At 36.4% G+C, this 15,534-nt stretch overlaps 1 protein-coding gene across 15 annotated transcripts in view; it reads right to left on the bottom strand.

Moving 5' to 3' along the window:
• The window catches only part of ADGRG6 (adhesion G protein-coupled receptor G6), a 144,255-nt gene continuing 129,588 nt past the window's right edge, over window positions 868–15,534 (bottom strand). For 8 of the 15 annotated variants that reach the window (XM_006715516.3, XM_006715518.3, NM_198569.3 and 5 more), the window contains 3 exons: window positions 9,594–9,695; window positions 8,765–8,917; window positions 868–3,792 (listed from right to left, as the gene is read on the bottom strand). In XM_006715516.3, coding sequence (XP_006715579.1) covers window positions 3,614–3,792; window positions 8,765–8,917; window positions 9,594–9,695 — 434 coding nt within the window. In that variant the 3' untranslated portion in view covers window positions 868–3,613. Of the gene's footprint in view, window positions 3,793–6,175; window positions 6,222–8,764; window positions 8,918–9,593; window positions 9,696–15,534 lie in introns of all 15 variants that reach the window. The other 7 variants (XM_005267061.4, XM_047419106.1, NM_020455.6 and 4 more) reach the window with 1 other exon arrangement.

The raw sequence follows: 15,534 nt of genomic DNA, 5'->3' as shown, positions 1-15,534 counted from the left end.
TTTGGTGGGGAGGAGGGAGAGAGCTATTTAATGTTTTTATATGAGAGAAATGGAATGTTATTCAACTGGAAACAGAGAAGTGCTTCCAAAACACTGAATTTATACAGACCAATTCCTCCAGATTTCAAAAATATTACCAACACAGGTCAGCCTGCAAATCAAATACGTGTTTTTCATTTGTTCCCCAATTCTACCCCTCCAGCTTTCCGAAGTAACCTGCATGTAAATGACTGTAGATGAGCCTTAAGCAGCTGCTTGTCTATTTTCTTAACATGGCTTGGCCAGGAGTTGTGAACATTGGCTTGGAAGACCTGGTTTAGCAGTGACCGTCAAAACACCTCACAACTTTGCACTGGGCATACACTTTGCTGAGTAGGGCAGTAAGCAAAATTGGGCTTTGGCTCACTGCAGAAAAAAAGTTATCCTAAATATCTACAGTAAAAGGAAGTGGGGAGGTTCTGTTCTCATCAAGTAAGTGAAGTTCGCTAAAATGTATCATTTGCTAAGCCTCTCACAATGAAAATAGCAACTATAAATGTGAGAAAAATATCCTAGGTCCTATCTTCTACAGGTTACTGAATCAGTTCCCTTTTGAGGATACTGAAGACATTCCCCGAAAGAAACCTGTATTATTTTTAATCTGCTGTAGAACTTGGCTTTGCATCAGTCATCCCAACAAATTCTAAGAACTTCAAAATGCATTAATCCTTAGTGAACTGGATCTGTGTAACATACTCATTCTGAGTGTTTTGGCAAAGTAGCCCTATGTCACTCGCTTAATTGGTGGCAGGTTATTTTCCAGCTGTCAAATAATCTTTTCCTATTTAGGAGTCAAAAGTAAAAACATTCACTCATAAAGGAATTGAATAACTTGGAACATGAACAACATAAGTATTTATTTGAAAAACATTTTCCATTTAAGTAAAATGGCAAATTAGCTAGAGTAGCTTCTTACTGCTAATTCTATTTGCACTCACAGTCACTTTTATTCATCATATTCAAAGATATTGCTACCAAAAATGATTTCACAAAGTATTTAGAAAAAATATATACAGTCTCTCTAATAGAAAGTTAATTAAAACAACAAAGCTAGGCAATATCAAGCTAAGAAAGGAAACCAATTGACATATATAAACACAAATAAATAAATATGTACAAAAGAATCTATGCCAACAACAGACAAAGAAAATCTTTACAATGCAAGTGAATGGTGACAAGAATGGAAAATCTCTCAGGATCCTAGACTATGACTCTAACACAATGTAGTTTAAAAAGAGGGAAAAAGAAAAGAAAACATAATGAAAAGAGAGTCTGAATTGATGCTATTCTCAAAGGTAAGCTGAACTAAATTTAGGCTCCCCAGCTAAATTCCTGACCTCTGTTCTGATGGGGGACTAAATGGAGGTGAGAACTGCATGCTTAGAACTGACAACAGAATTTGGCTCAATCTTTCAAATCCATTTACAAATGTTTCCCTTGAGCAATTTCTTAATTTTTTTCTCATCTGGTTATTGAAAATTTCTAAAGTGGAGCTGACATTGTCAAATATGAAAAAAATATTTTTCTGGAGCCATACGAATATGAGTAGAAATCAAAAGCAAAGCCATTTTTGAAGCTATATCTTAATTACTATTGACTAAGCACTTTGGGCAGAAATCTGACTAGTTAGAAAGCTAACTAATTAAAATCTACTATGAATGTCTAAGGTTTTGGGGGAAATGTATATGAATATTCAGTGACTAAGATTCATTTTCATCCATATGTAACCTCCGCCAAAATAAGCAGCCTGTTAATATATGCCTATTGAAAAGGATTTGGCTCAGTGACCTTAGATTTACTATCTTACTTAGAATCTCAGTGACCTTATATTTACTATTCTTTTTTACTGAATACAACCCTCCCCCGTGAAAGCCAAGCTGGGTAATGCTCTTGTCTCCCAGGATGGTGTTGCAGGATGTTGCAAAATGGAACAGTAATAAAAAACCCACTACCTCATTATCTCATCATCTGCTGGAGCCAGGCAAATAGCTTCCTGATTGAAGCTCAGCAAAAGGTGAGAGGTCCCTTGGGTTGCTGTGTAGCCTAAAAGCTCTCCCATATCTCAGACTGCAAACTACCTGTTTTTCGTGCAGAGAGAAAGGCCTCTAGGTTCCAGGTTCTGGACTTTGCCTTTAAGCAGATTGGCTTTGCCAGAATGTCTCCTTTTCTTATCACTTAATGCTGTTGCCTCCCAGAACCTGATACTTCCCAGATAACCCAGAGCAAATGTGAAAAAGCACAGCATGCACTGAGACCGATTTCTAAGAAACTGCATGGACTCCATCATCTAAGAACAATTACAATGTGGTCTCCTATACATTCATTAGCAAGCAAGCATTACTCAGAATAGTCTGAGAGTTAGGTAAGCTGCATAATAGTATGCAAGGTTTGTATGCAGCAGCCTGATCCATAAATAATACACCATCTATCTTGCCAGACCTCCTCAGGCTCTTATATACTATAACCAGAGGACTGACACACAAGTAGTTTTTAGACTAGCTATTGCAGACCCAGCTCTTCATAAATTATTTTGATTATTATGACTCACCCATATGTCTCACTTCATATTCCTTGGAACAAAACTCTCAATGGGGAAATACGAGGCTTTTATTTGTGCTTTAGGAAATGTCTTAAAGTCTCCAAAGCAAGGACAGAACCAGAGAGTCTTAATTGTGTGTCTCCTAAAAGGAAAATTCCACTGCATACAGCTTGCCTAATGGAAATTCTCCTTCCTCCCACAAGCCTATGGGCTTAATATACAGTAGAGGGGCAAAAGTAGAGGTGTAAGAGATTCATTCTTAAACAACTCCTGGGAGGTCCAGAATGATGGAACATCAACACTAAACTTAACTCGAATGTATGGGATTAAATTATACTTAATGCTTTGGCCCTATGCCTTGAATAGAATAAGTAAAATATTAGAAATTTATATAGCCTCATTTAACTAGGTCAACATTTTGGGAAAGTTTTCTTAAGCATGTTATGGTTCTGAAGGTGTAATATTTAAAATAATAAAAAATCCTTTTTAATCTTTGGGTCAAGGAGTAAACAGTCTTTTCTGCCTGTGGTTGAAATGTCATTGAAAATGAGAATATGGTACTGCATTCACAGAAAGTAACACTGGAATGGGATTTGTGGGCATTCAAAATAGTTACATTTTTTATTGTTGAGAAAGAAGATGCAGAAAATGGGTATATCCAGATATAACGATTAGGTGGAGTAAAATGAGCTCTATCTAGGGTCTTCCTCAGCATTGCTTCTCCCTTGTCTCTAATTTGAATGTCTCCCCTGCATTATGATTACTCTGATTCAATTATATATTTTACAAATCATAGCTTCTGTGGCTACTGAGTCATGTTACTCTCAGTACTGAAGTTTTAGTGATGACAACTCTTCCATGGAAGAAATATATTAAAAAGAAAAATTCTGAATTTCACAAAAGCCTTCTTAACAAAATACATTCCTTATATATATGCAGTTACCTAGGTAATAGCACATTTACATCACTAGTTGCAGTTTACACTGCTTGCAAATCTTCACATTTCTGCAGATTGATTTCTTTTTCTTAAAGACATTAAAACTTTGTGCTGTGGCTGAAGGTGTCTGACATGATAATATTTTTATAGAAGTTGTCTGAATGAGCATTGCAATAACCCTTGACCTTATCAATGACCTGATGGACAGGGATGATTGATGTTTGATCTCCATCAGCATGGGCCAGTTTTGACAAGGACTTGTCCATGGAAGCACTGTCTGCAAGAAATGATACAAGAAATTAGGTTCAAGATGAGCTGGTGGCATGCCTACAGGCCACCATATTGTATACTCCGTTTTGCACATTAAAGAAGAACAAAAGAAAATAAAGCTCCGATTCTTTCTTATATTAGGTAATAGGCAACACTAAACTTCCATGTTTTTCTTCTTCTAAGTATACTCCTGATAGTCACTGAGTGTCAACTTCCCTTCTAGTAATTTGTACTGTGGCTTACCATACGAAATATTCTTGAATGTAGCAGAGCCAATGAAAAAATAATTGGAAAACCACTTCAAAAAAACATGCACTATGGCTTGAAAGATGTACAAAATTATAAGGAATTAGAATGTGCTGAAATATTTGTGGAAGAAATTATATCTAAGATATGTTTTCAAATAATATAGGAAGGGAAAAATGGGTAGGGGTGTATAACTGGCTATAAATTGATGGTTACAAGGGGCTTTATAATAGTATCCTCTCTATTTTTTATATAGGTTTGACACTTTTCATAACAAAAAATTTTATAAAATTAAATTTAAAGGATTTTGGAGAATACAAGCAAATGAAAATAAATATGAAATGCTACTTTGAACGTATTTTCCCAAGGTTTTTAGCTGGATAAACAACTGGAAAATAGCAAAAAGGGTACTTCTTGTGAATTATTTTTTTAATTGTAGCAATCAAAGTTATTACCAGAAATATTTTAATAGAAAATGATTTATTTATATTAATTATCTTGTAGTTTCTGAATGATGTTATTGCTAACAGCACTAATATTATAGCAACTGATAGTAATAAAGGACTGCTAAATAATTTTTTCTAAAATTTTCAGTATCATATATTTAAATGTTATTTCCCTATACACAAAAGCTTTCTAAAATTGGCTCAGATAGTGTTCTGAAACCCACTTATGCTCTATTATCTATAAAGACGTATGGTTGTCTTCATGTATCCTACAAATATCTTTTAAGCACTTCCCTCTCCAAATACACTTTAGGAAAAAATTCTACCCTCAAATTAACCAAATTATAGAAATTTTACACTGATAAAGAAGATATGAACTTTTATAAAGTATTCAGTTTCCTATGTACCTTCTCCATACATTGTGGAAGAGGCAAAAACTCTATCCTGAAAAATTTTTAGAAATCATGGCTCTAAAATTGGAATCTTCACTCCAATGCTTTTTACATTTTGAGTATGCTGGACTCAGTATGTGACAAAACATTTAAAATCCATCAATAATTGGTAAAAGCCATCATCATCATGATATCTGTTGTCTTTGGAAACTATTCAAATTGCTCAACTATTATCTTGTGTTGAAGCCGACACTAAATACAATGAGGGCTAAAAAGGGAAATGGGATACTCAACCCACACTAAAGGATGCTAGAGAGAAGAATAGATGGTTCATGGAGAGAACGAGCAAACTGAAGCATGGTGGAACAACTGAAGCATTTTCCAATGTCGGCAAGGAAAAGGCTCAAGGAGTCATGACAAAAGGCCCCTCCCCATTAGGCTCTCAGCAAGCTGATTGATTCTGAGCTTCCTTTCAGTTCATATATTCACTAGCCATTGGTTTTCTGGTGGGGATTTTTCTATTGACTTATATATTAATAATGAATAATTAGTGCTTGGTGTTTTTAGAAAACCACATATCCTCAGAGAGATATCAAGGATATAGTCACTCTGTTTCCTTTGTAACTTCCAGTGGCATGTACTTTTAGAGATTTTGAAAAGCTTCATTTCAACAATGTGATCCAATTTAGTGGGTCTTTGCAGTTTAACAAAGCAAAATTCTGAATGAGGGCTGTATTTTTATATATGCTATTCCCAGTCTTCTGGTTAGATATTACATTATGGGTAATAAAGACTTTGATTATAGTTGCAAGTCTGAAAACCAGGGGCTAGGGATATGAACTATTATTTGACCTATGCTGAAATTTCAAGCAGATAACAATTCTCACAAAGCAGGCTTGGAATTCACAATTTCACTTACATGACTTCTATGAATGTACCATGACATACCCAGAAATCCACATGAGCAGTGGAAAAATAAAGCATTTCATGTCCTTCTACAACAAATCTTTTCTCAAGTACTGCTTTCTGTCATTATTTTACATAATATGTGCTCCACTCACTCCAGACCATGGTACATTTCCTAGAAGGAGCCGCTTGCAGATACCCCATGCAGAGAAGAGCCAGCACAGCACACACTATCATTCAAAACTTCAGAAATTCCAGCTCAATGCAGGAATGTCATTGTGCTAGCTGAAAAGAACAAGCCATTTTGCCGATGCAGCAAGAATCTTAGCTTAATCCATGCACATATTCTCTTATTACCTTGCAAAAAATTCATGCATTCAAAAAAGTAACGAAAGTTTACCTGAGTGATCCACTTTTGTTGAAGGAATGCTCATAGGAGACATTATCTATACCATAAACATATGAATATCTAGATCAATTCCAAGAAATGAACCAGCTAGATATCCATGATGATATGCAGTGACGTTTTGCATACCTTGAGTGATCCCAGGATGCTAACTGTTCCACTGAGAACTGTCTGGGTAGCCAAAGCCTATGTGAAGTCAGTTGACTGTAAACCAGGATTTATTATAACATTGAAGTAATGCCATATAACTAACTATATTCTCATCCTAGTTGACAAGAACCCATTTAGCCCCAAGGGTTTTTTGTTAAGGGAAACAAGAACATTAATGCATTCTTTAAAAAACAAAACAAAAGGCTAAGTGTGGTGGCTCACGTCTGTAATCCCAGGACTCTGGGAGGCTGAGGCAGGAAAATTCCTTGAGCCCAGGAGTTTGAGACTAGCCTGGGTAAGATGATGAGACCTCATCTCTACAAAAATACAAAAATTAGACAAGTGTGGTGGTGCACACCTGTAGTCCCAGCTACTCGGGAGGCTGAGGTAGGAGGATTGCTTGAACCCAGGAGGTAGAGGCTGCAGTAAGCCTCTACCGTGAGTGTGCCCTTGCACTCCAGCCTGGTAAACAGAGCGAGACCCTGTGTCAAAATAAATAAATAAATAAAATAAAATAATAGATGAAATAAAACAAAATGAAGAACAGACAATATTTTAAAATAGTAAAGTCTGCCTTTGGACCTCCATCTCTGCATTTCCTCTTTTATCTTCTAGTCCGTTTTCCCCCGAATCCTATAGCCCTTTCTATCCTTAATATTTCCAAAATGCCTCATGTTCCAAATTAACTGCCTTGTTATCTTCTTTCCTCTTTTAAGAGTGGCATTTCTTCAGGCCAGCTATTTTCAGCTGTTTAAGAGGAAAGCAATTCATTTGGTTTAATTCCTATTCATTAATAACTGATAAGGCATTAAGTATTTGTATTTTAGAAGGGGAGGCAAAATGAGTATCAAATTTTAAGTTTGGTTAAATAAAGTGAAAAAAATAATTCATTATAAGCAAAAATATTTTGTGCCACGGAACCACCAAATAAGTAGAATAATCTATCTTAGGCTATACCCCTGTTATCAATTTATTTACACAGGTATTCTTAAGCAGAGGTGCACAGACTTCTCTAATTTTATGCAAAATTGTGAAAATGATTCAAAGTCTGTACCTTTTTTTTCTGGAAGAGAATCAACAGCCTTCATTCAATTCCCCCCAAAATGTCCTAGACTTCAAGAAGCTTTAAGAACTGCTGTTCTAAGTTGCTCCAAGTTCTTGGATTTTTAATTAATTTTGGAATTAAAGAACTGTCTAAACACTCAAAACTTTTTCCATAGCACTATCATGAATCCCAGGCAGTGGCCACCCCAGTGGCAAGACATAGAAAACGGTGCAAACAGGGCATGTATATGGATTCAAATGTACACCAGGGTTATCTGTAATTCAAGTATTTGCAATATGAATAATTACAGACACATCACACACCTTACTCCCTATTTGCAAAAAGCCAAGTATTAATCTTCTTTGTGCCATTCACCTCTGCTCATGTTTAATAGCTAAACAAATTAAAAATTTAAAAGTTATTTCCATTATCCTTTTAGAATTATCTTTAATTAGGAAAGTGCTCTGTTTTAAATGTTGACAGCTGTCTGCCAGGGGTTTAATTTAAAAGTAGCAATTCTATTATTTCCCTTTGAAAACATGAAAAAGTTACACATTTTCACATCATTCACTATCAAGTGCTGCAAAATATTACTATTTTTTTGAGATGGGGTCTTGCTATGTTGCCCAGGCTGTGGTACAGTTGCTCAATCATTTCTCACTGCAGCCTGAACTCCAGGGCACAAGCAATCCCACCATCTCAGCCTCCAGAGCAGCTGGGACTCCAGGCATGTGTCATAGCACCTGGCTTAAAATATTCTTTATTTCCATGGTGTCGTCAGGATTTTTCACATACATGTTCAGTGTCAGAATGTGCAGCAATTGTAAATATCATGAAAAAACAGGATATTATGAAAGACAGTGTTTCTTATAGCCCTGTGTCACTTTCTAAATATTATGTTCTTTCATATATAATCAGTGATTTAAAGGGCAGTCATCAATAACATTTGCAATGGTTAAGGAATTAAGTCTTAAATAAAATGTACATCCTAGATATTGTTTCTTCCTGTTCCCAAGACAACTTGTCCAGTAATTATCATACTATGCTGAAATAATCTGTAATTCAATTTTTAATTTTAAAAATATATAACTTTTTAAACAAAATACCATAATTGTTAAAGATAACCAAGTTTTTGAATCAAATGATGAAGTAACAATAATATACAGAGTGAATTATTATGGTTATATAGCTAGAGTTTGGGTTACAAAATTTTTAAAAGGACAAAATATTCATAAAGGTGTTGGATAACGTCTTCAAACGGATTTTTATTTTCATAAATCTAAAAGATGCACCCTCTTAGGCACTGTGATTTATCAATCTTCATGATATGCCAATTTTTGCAATGAAAATGTGATGAGAACTAAACTTGAGGACATCTTTAGACTCACCTGTGTGGCTATTCCTTTTGAAATAGGTGGTAGAGCTGGATTTAGATTTGGATGTAAGATAGGTTGAGTTGGAACCAATGGAGCTTGAAGACAAAGATTTTCCTAGATTATCAGAACTTTTCTTGATGATATTGGTAGCTGTCTTACTCCAATCTGAAAAAAAAAATGACATCACCCTATCAATCTGCTTTACCGGGAATATGAACTGCTCTGAAAAAATCATCACTGCATTATTTATCTGGAGCATCTGATTTTCTGATATGCTGGCAATGGCTCAGAGAAGAGACTGACATGTAAACAATAAGAGGATATTGATAATTTCTTACTTTGACCTTGTATACGTACTATTTAAAATCTCACTTTCAATATCCCAAAGATGAGAAGTAACCACTGACAGTAAAAAGAAAAACAAAGAAAGATAAAGAAAAGAAAAAAGACAAAGTAGGTTTTTTCAGTTTTTTTTTTTTTTTTAATACTGAGAAAAATCTCTTTGCTTAATAATGTAATTGCGGATCTAGAAAATGTGGAAAGGTGAGTCTGGTATAGTGGAACCTCTGGGTATACGGGTTATTAAATTAGACATCAAACCTCAGGCAACTCATTTAACTTGTATGGAATTCATGCTTCTCCTCTGCAGAATAGAAGGGTTGGGCTCAAAGTTCTCTGATCTCTTCCAGCCCTGATATTCTATGATTCCAACTACGCATCTTCACATGCTCCACTTCAATAGCTTGCTACCACTGGGACTGGGTTGCTCTGACAATGAAAGACTGAATGACAAACTTTCCCATCTACTTGTAGATGTAAAATTTAATCAACAACTCTTTACCTGAGTTATCTGCTAACCGAAATCTACCACAGCAGAGATGCTGCCGCCACTGTTTCTGAACATTCTCCTTCATAGCACAGTGGAAGATGAATATAAATAAGCCTGTGACAAAAGAAAATATAAATATTTAAGCCAACTGACACATCTTTAAAGAGAAATCTTATAAAATACATGGATTCATTTTAATTTTAAATTTTTTACATCAAAGGCACTAAGAAACAAAGATCTTAAGGAAATGAATCTTGCAGTATGTAGCAGACACTTTAATCCTTTAGAAGAGAACACAAAGGCTCTGATAAAACTAGAATAACCACAGGGATCTGATTCTGTCTTTGCCTGTTCTGTTCAGCATTCATTATGACTTAACCTAAAAGCCAAGCTGAAATAAGCAACATTCAATTCTAGAAGTATTTAGTATTTCCCATATATTTGTCCTAAAATTATGTTAAAACTTTCCATACATATTTTAACAAAAGAGAAAATGGAAAACACACATAAGCTCATCATCTGTTTCAATTTGTGTATTCTGAGCTATTTTACATATGTATATTATAGTTATATTCATAGTATATTAGCTTGGGCCATAGAAAAGTGGTCTTTTTGCAGGTGAAACGTGGCACCAAATCAGCAAAATCATGCGGCTCCACCTGGCCTACTTTAGCTTTTCAAGATTTTAACACAGAAATATTTCCATAATGAGAAACAGTCTTCATATTTATAGTCACTCCTTGTGCTTATCAAAATCTGTGTCATTTGTATCTTAGAAGCCAATCCCTTTTAACTTTTCAGGGCATTTGCTTCCGCATTTTAAACCTCTCCTTGAGGCATCATCGATCTTTCTCTTGATTCCTCTATACTTGGTTATGTCCATTAACTTACAAGCATACTGTTAAAACACTTTTTTTAAGAACAAACAAAAAATTCCTCCCTTAACCTCCAATTTTCTTCCAGCTTCAATCTCTTTATTCCTTTTCCCAATAAAACTTCTTGAAATGGTTAACTTTTGCTGCCTCCCCTTTTTCTCACACCTTATCTTCTCCACCCAGTCCAAGCAGATTGCTATCCACATCCATGACCCTACTATGACCACTCTTGTAAGAATGATGGCAACTCCAATATTGCTAAGTTTCCCATGACCACTTTACTAGACGTCTCGGCAGCACTCAACACAATCAAACAGCCCTTCATTCTCAAGGTCATTTTCTCCCAGTTTTCTTCCTAATTTGCTGGGGATTCCTTCTTGGTCTCTTTAGTAGATTCTTCTGCTTTACTCTAAAAAGGTTTACATGTCCATGACTTGGTCCCGGGTTTCCATCTCTTCTATGGTTACATTGCCACTTTGGGTACCAACACTTCTAAAATATAAGCACCACATACTGATTTTTATATTTGGTTCTGCCCCTTTCTCTCCCCTACCCCCCACCAGGATTCCAACACATATTGCTCAAAGGACATCTTCACTGGGCTGTATCTCCCCTTGGCAGCATCTCACATCCCAGATGTCCTGAACAGAAGTCCTTGCGATCATGACCCTCAAACACACACACATCCCTTTAATTCTCAATGTGTCCAGCTCATTCCAGCCCAATACCATGCTGAACGCTCTTCTCCCAAATCTTTCCATAACACGTTCCTACCTGTCATTCTGGTCTCAGACCAACTGTTAACTCCTCAGAGAGGCCCTCAGCAACCGTTATTTTATTTTATTTTTAATTTTAACCTTTAGTCACTCCCTTTCACATCTTTTTTTCACAGCACTCCTCAGTATCTAACATTCTTGTATTCCTCATTTATTCATTTATTCCTTTGCTTGATCGTCTCTTACTAGCAGATAATAAGCTCCAAGAGAACAGGGATATTTGTGTATTCAATGCTGTGCTGGCTGTTTCAAGAAATATGCAGGAACTTAATGAATGTTTATTGATGGAATGAATGGTAACCAAGATCAATCAATCATGTAGTCTACATGAGTTAATTGAATGCTTACATGTATACTCTAATGTGTTAAATGTGTTTGGAGACGTGGAGGTTAAAAATAGGACTGAGCGGTCAAATTAAGAGGTAATAGGAATGAAAAGAAAACATATTTAAGGAAAAAGTTTCTGAAAAGCATGCAAATAAGTTGCTGAGGTTGTGTCCCAGTAAAACATTAAGCAGTATATCTACATAAGGGAGGGCTTTTTAGGGGATCTAGCGCTTGAACTGAACCTTAAGTTCAGTAGGGAAGTGAGGGAAGTTTCCAGGAAGGGTAATTGATTCAGTGACAATTTATTAAGCGCTGCTAAGCAGGAGGCACTGTGTTTTAGGAGTTGGAGATTCAATGGTGAACCAGGTAGGCAATCCTTGTATTCATGGAACAAAGGGTCTAGTATGGAATGGCATAAATGTAAAACTTATGACAGTCCTTTTAAGGGATCATTAAAACTTATATGTTCCTTTTGAATATGGAGTATTCATCAAGAAAACTACATTGCAGCTTGTACAATGGAAAAAGTGGGAAAAAGTCTTAACAGTACTCTCTTTAGAGTACTGTTTGCATAAATTTGCAAAATAAGTCTAAGGTTATGCTTACATGTTTTATTTTTTAATACGAAGATTCAAAGCGGCCCTTAGTTTTCAGAATAAATTACATTATTAGCAAATGTTATTATAGAAAAGGAGCTTAATTTCTACATGATGGGTCCTGATCACAGTAAAATGACTAGGCTGATTCTCCTCTAGGTTTAGCTTGTTGTTTGGTGATTAGCAACTGAGCACAAGCCCTGATACTTAATAGGTGCTGTCTATAAATTCCTATTTAAATTACTGAAGAATCATTACATATTTTGACTTGCAGAAAAATGCCACTATGAAAGTACTGACTATATTTGGTCATTGATTTCAAGTAGATGACCAGCCCATAAAAAGTTCTTCAGGGCCGGACGCGGTGGCTTACACCTGCAATCCCAACACTTTGGGAGGCCAAGGCAGGTGGATCATGAGGTCAGGAGCTGACCAGCCTGGCCAACATAGTGAAACCCCATCTCTACTAAAAACACAAAAAATTAGCCGGATGTGGTGGTTGGCACCTGTAATCCTAGCTACTCAGGAGGCTGCAGCAGGAGAATTGCTTGAACTCGGGAGGCGGAGGTTGCAGTGAGCCGAGATCGTGCCATTCCACTCCATCCTGGGTGACAGTGCGAGACTCCGTCTCAAAAAAGAAAAAAAAATTCTGGGAAATTTAAATATGTTGATCTCTGAGAGGTATGAATAAGGCATGCAATGACCTAAGTAATAGTGCATTATATTTATTATTACTATTATGTTATTTGATATTAATATATGGTTATATATTTATATAAATAAAATATGATTTTATTTATTATATAATTTATTACTAATACTTTATTGGTAATGAAGTAATTTGTAAAGGAAATAAATCCTAATGATCTATTTCTTTGAAATGTTATATCAGATAGGGTAGAGAAGTTTTTTCTTTTTTAAGAGACAGATTCTTGCTCTGTTGCCCAGGCTGGATGAAGTACAGTGGTGCAACTGTAGCTCACTGTAGCCTTGAACTCCTGGGCTCAAGCAATCCTCCTGCCTCAGCTTCTTATGTTGCCTGGACAATAGGCATGTGCCACCACATCTAACTAATGTTTTGTAGAAGTGGGGGTCTCACTATGTTGCCCAAGCTGGTCTAGAACTCCTGGCCTCAAACGATTCTCCTGCCTCAGCCTCCCAAAGCACTGGGATTACAGGCATGAGCCATCGTGACTGGCTGGGAAGTTCTAATTTAACAAAAGAAAAGCATTAATAAATATCAATCAATTTCAATTATTTAGAAAGCAAACAAGCACCTCGTGAAGGTCCCTGTGCTCCAGGTTGGGGAGGAAGAGTTGGAGAGGGCACTGGCTGCACACTGTCCTGGCCTGTGTCAGGGCATTACAAATCTCAGAGTAAGGAAAGATTTTCTTCTATACTCAGAATCCCTCAGAGCAGGCTTTGCAGGCTGATCCTCCTTCCCAGGAAGTACGGAATAGATATCATTCGGTTAGGATTTCATCCTCACACTCTACATGACTAAATCTCATTGCTTTTTAAAGCCTTTCCATACCTACCACATTCCCTAATCAGGTTGCCAATACAGTCAATCCTTTCAATAAGCAAATACACTTTGTACCACCAGCACTTTGAATAAGCAAAAGTGTATAAATAATTCGAATTGGTTACTAGATTCTTTTAAGTTTTGAAGAGAGGGTGGCAGTTACAGAGTAGAGTGGACTGAAGGAAGCCTGAGGTAAGGTAAATAGAGGCTACAGATGACGGAGGCTGCAGCTCCAGAGAAGGAAGTCCACATTGTCTCAGCTTACTCTATGTTCCCTTAACGGGGTCAGAATTTCCAGAATTTGTTCTTGGAGGTATTTTTGTCACACAGCTAGAAATATAAGTAACTGTGTATTCTTAAACAATTGTTTAACAGAGTCACATTTTAGAGCTGGAGGGGAATATAAACTTCAACGAAGGTCTTTTGTTCCTAAGCATTAACCCAGGTATTATTCGTTAGAGGGCCTCACATTTAGCAAATGATTTTTAGTTCTGGGTAGAAAGAAAAATTGCTGAATGTTGCTTCCCTTAATACTCTATTATTCTTTTGTAACCTTAGTAGTCTTTCTGTATGCTATATATCCTGGAAAAAACATTCAGAGGTTGTGTCTGGTGTTTTGAGGACATCAGAAAAGAACGAGGTCACAGATTCAGTTTCTTAGCCTTGTTGGGGTAGTAAAATGTGAATTATTCTGAGAATCAAATGCTAAGCACAGCCAGAGAGGATAAAGTTAAAGATAAGACTGACTTAATAAAACAATTTTTTAGATTGTATAGTGCTGCCCTATATCATAATTATATAACATTAAATGACATTGCCTATTTTTAAGTAACCATTGTGGTCTGTAAATATACAGGCACTCAATAATTTTTGGAAACACTGGAGAGGAGAAGTCATTTAAATGTTCTACCTTCCACTATGAATTGTGACGCTATGGAACAAAATTACATAATAAGCGTAACAAATTAGAATTCTTAGGAATGAATATATTTTAAATTTTAAGGTATTGTATTTATAATATATATATGGTGAATCCTATAATCTTGAGATTCATTTCTATTTTAAATAAGAATAGGATTCTCATAACAGGTTATTTTACTATTTGTAGTCACTAGCCCTTTTCCCATGAATTTAAGTTAGTCTGGCAATAAATATTATACCAAAATTCCTCCAGGACAAAATAGCCCTTTCACAGTTCAGTAGTGGGCAGTGTGGCAGGCATCTGGATCTGTAACAGTGCACACAAGCAATATGGAAAGAAATTCTGAACACTTCAGGAAGGAGCAGTAGAAATGAAGCCAGAGAGCCAAGGGCACCTGGAGGCTACTGTGAGAAAACATGGCTATTACCTCTTAAATTCTGAGGTTGAGGGTTTTTTGTTTTTGTTTTTGTTTTTCCTCCATCTACTTATAGATCTCGGTGTCAGAAGCAGGACTAAAATCACAAACTTTAATAGAGTTCTGTGTTGACAACCAAGAAAATCTGTTTGATTTCTCATTCCAATTTCTGCTTCTTTCTTTTGTTTCGAGATGGAATCTGGCTCTGTCGCCCAGGCTGGAGTGCAATGGTGCGATCTTGGCTCACTGCAACCTCTGCCCCCTGGGTTCAAGCAATTCTCCTGCCTCAATCTGCTGAGTAGCTGGGATTACAGGCGCATGCCACCACCCCTGGCTAATTTTTGTATTTTTAATAGAGGCGGGGCTTCACCATATTTGCCAGGCTGGTCTCAAACTCCTGAGCTCGTGATCTGCTCACCTCAGCCTCCCAAAGTGCTGGGATTACATGCGTGAGCCACCGCACCTGGCCTCTTTCTATCATTTTTTTCCCTTTGCTAATCTTCATACCACCTAGGAA

This window comes from Homo sapiens, chromosome 6 (genome assembly GCF_000001405.40).
Source record: "Homo sapiens chromosome 6, GRCh38.p14 Primary Assembly".
Classification (NCBI taxonomy): domain Eukaryota; kingdom Metazoa; phylum Chordata; class Mammalia; order Primates; family Hominidae; genus Homo; species Homo sapiens.
This window is presented reverse-complemented; position numbering and strand designations above follow the sequence as displayed.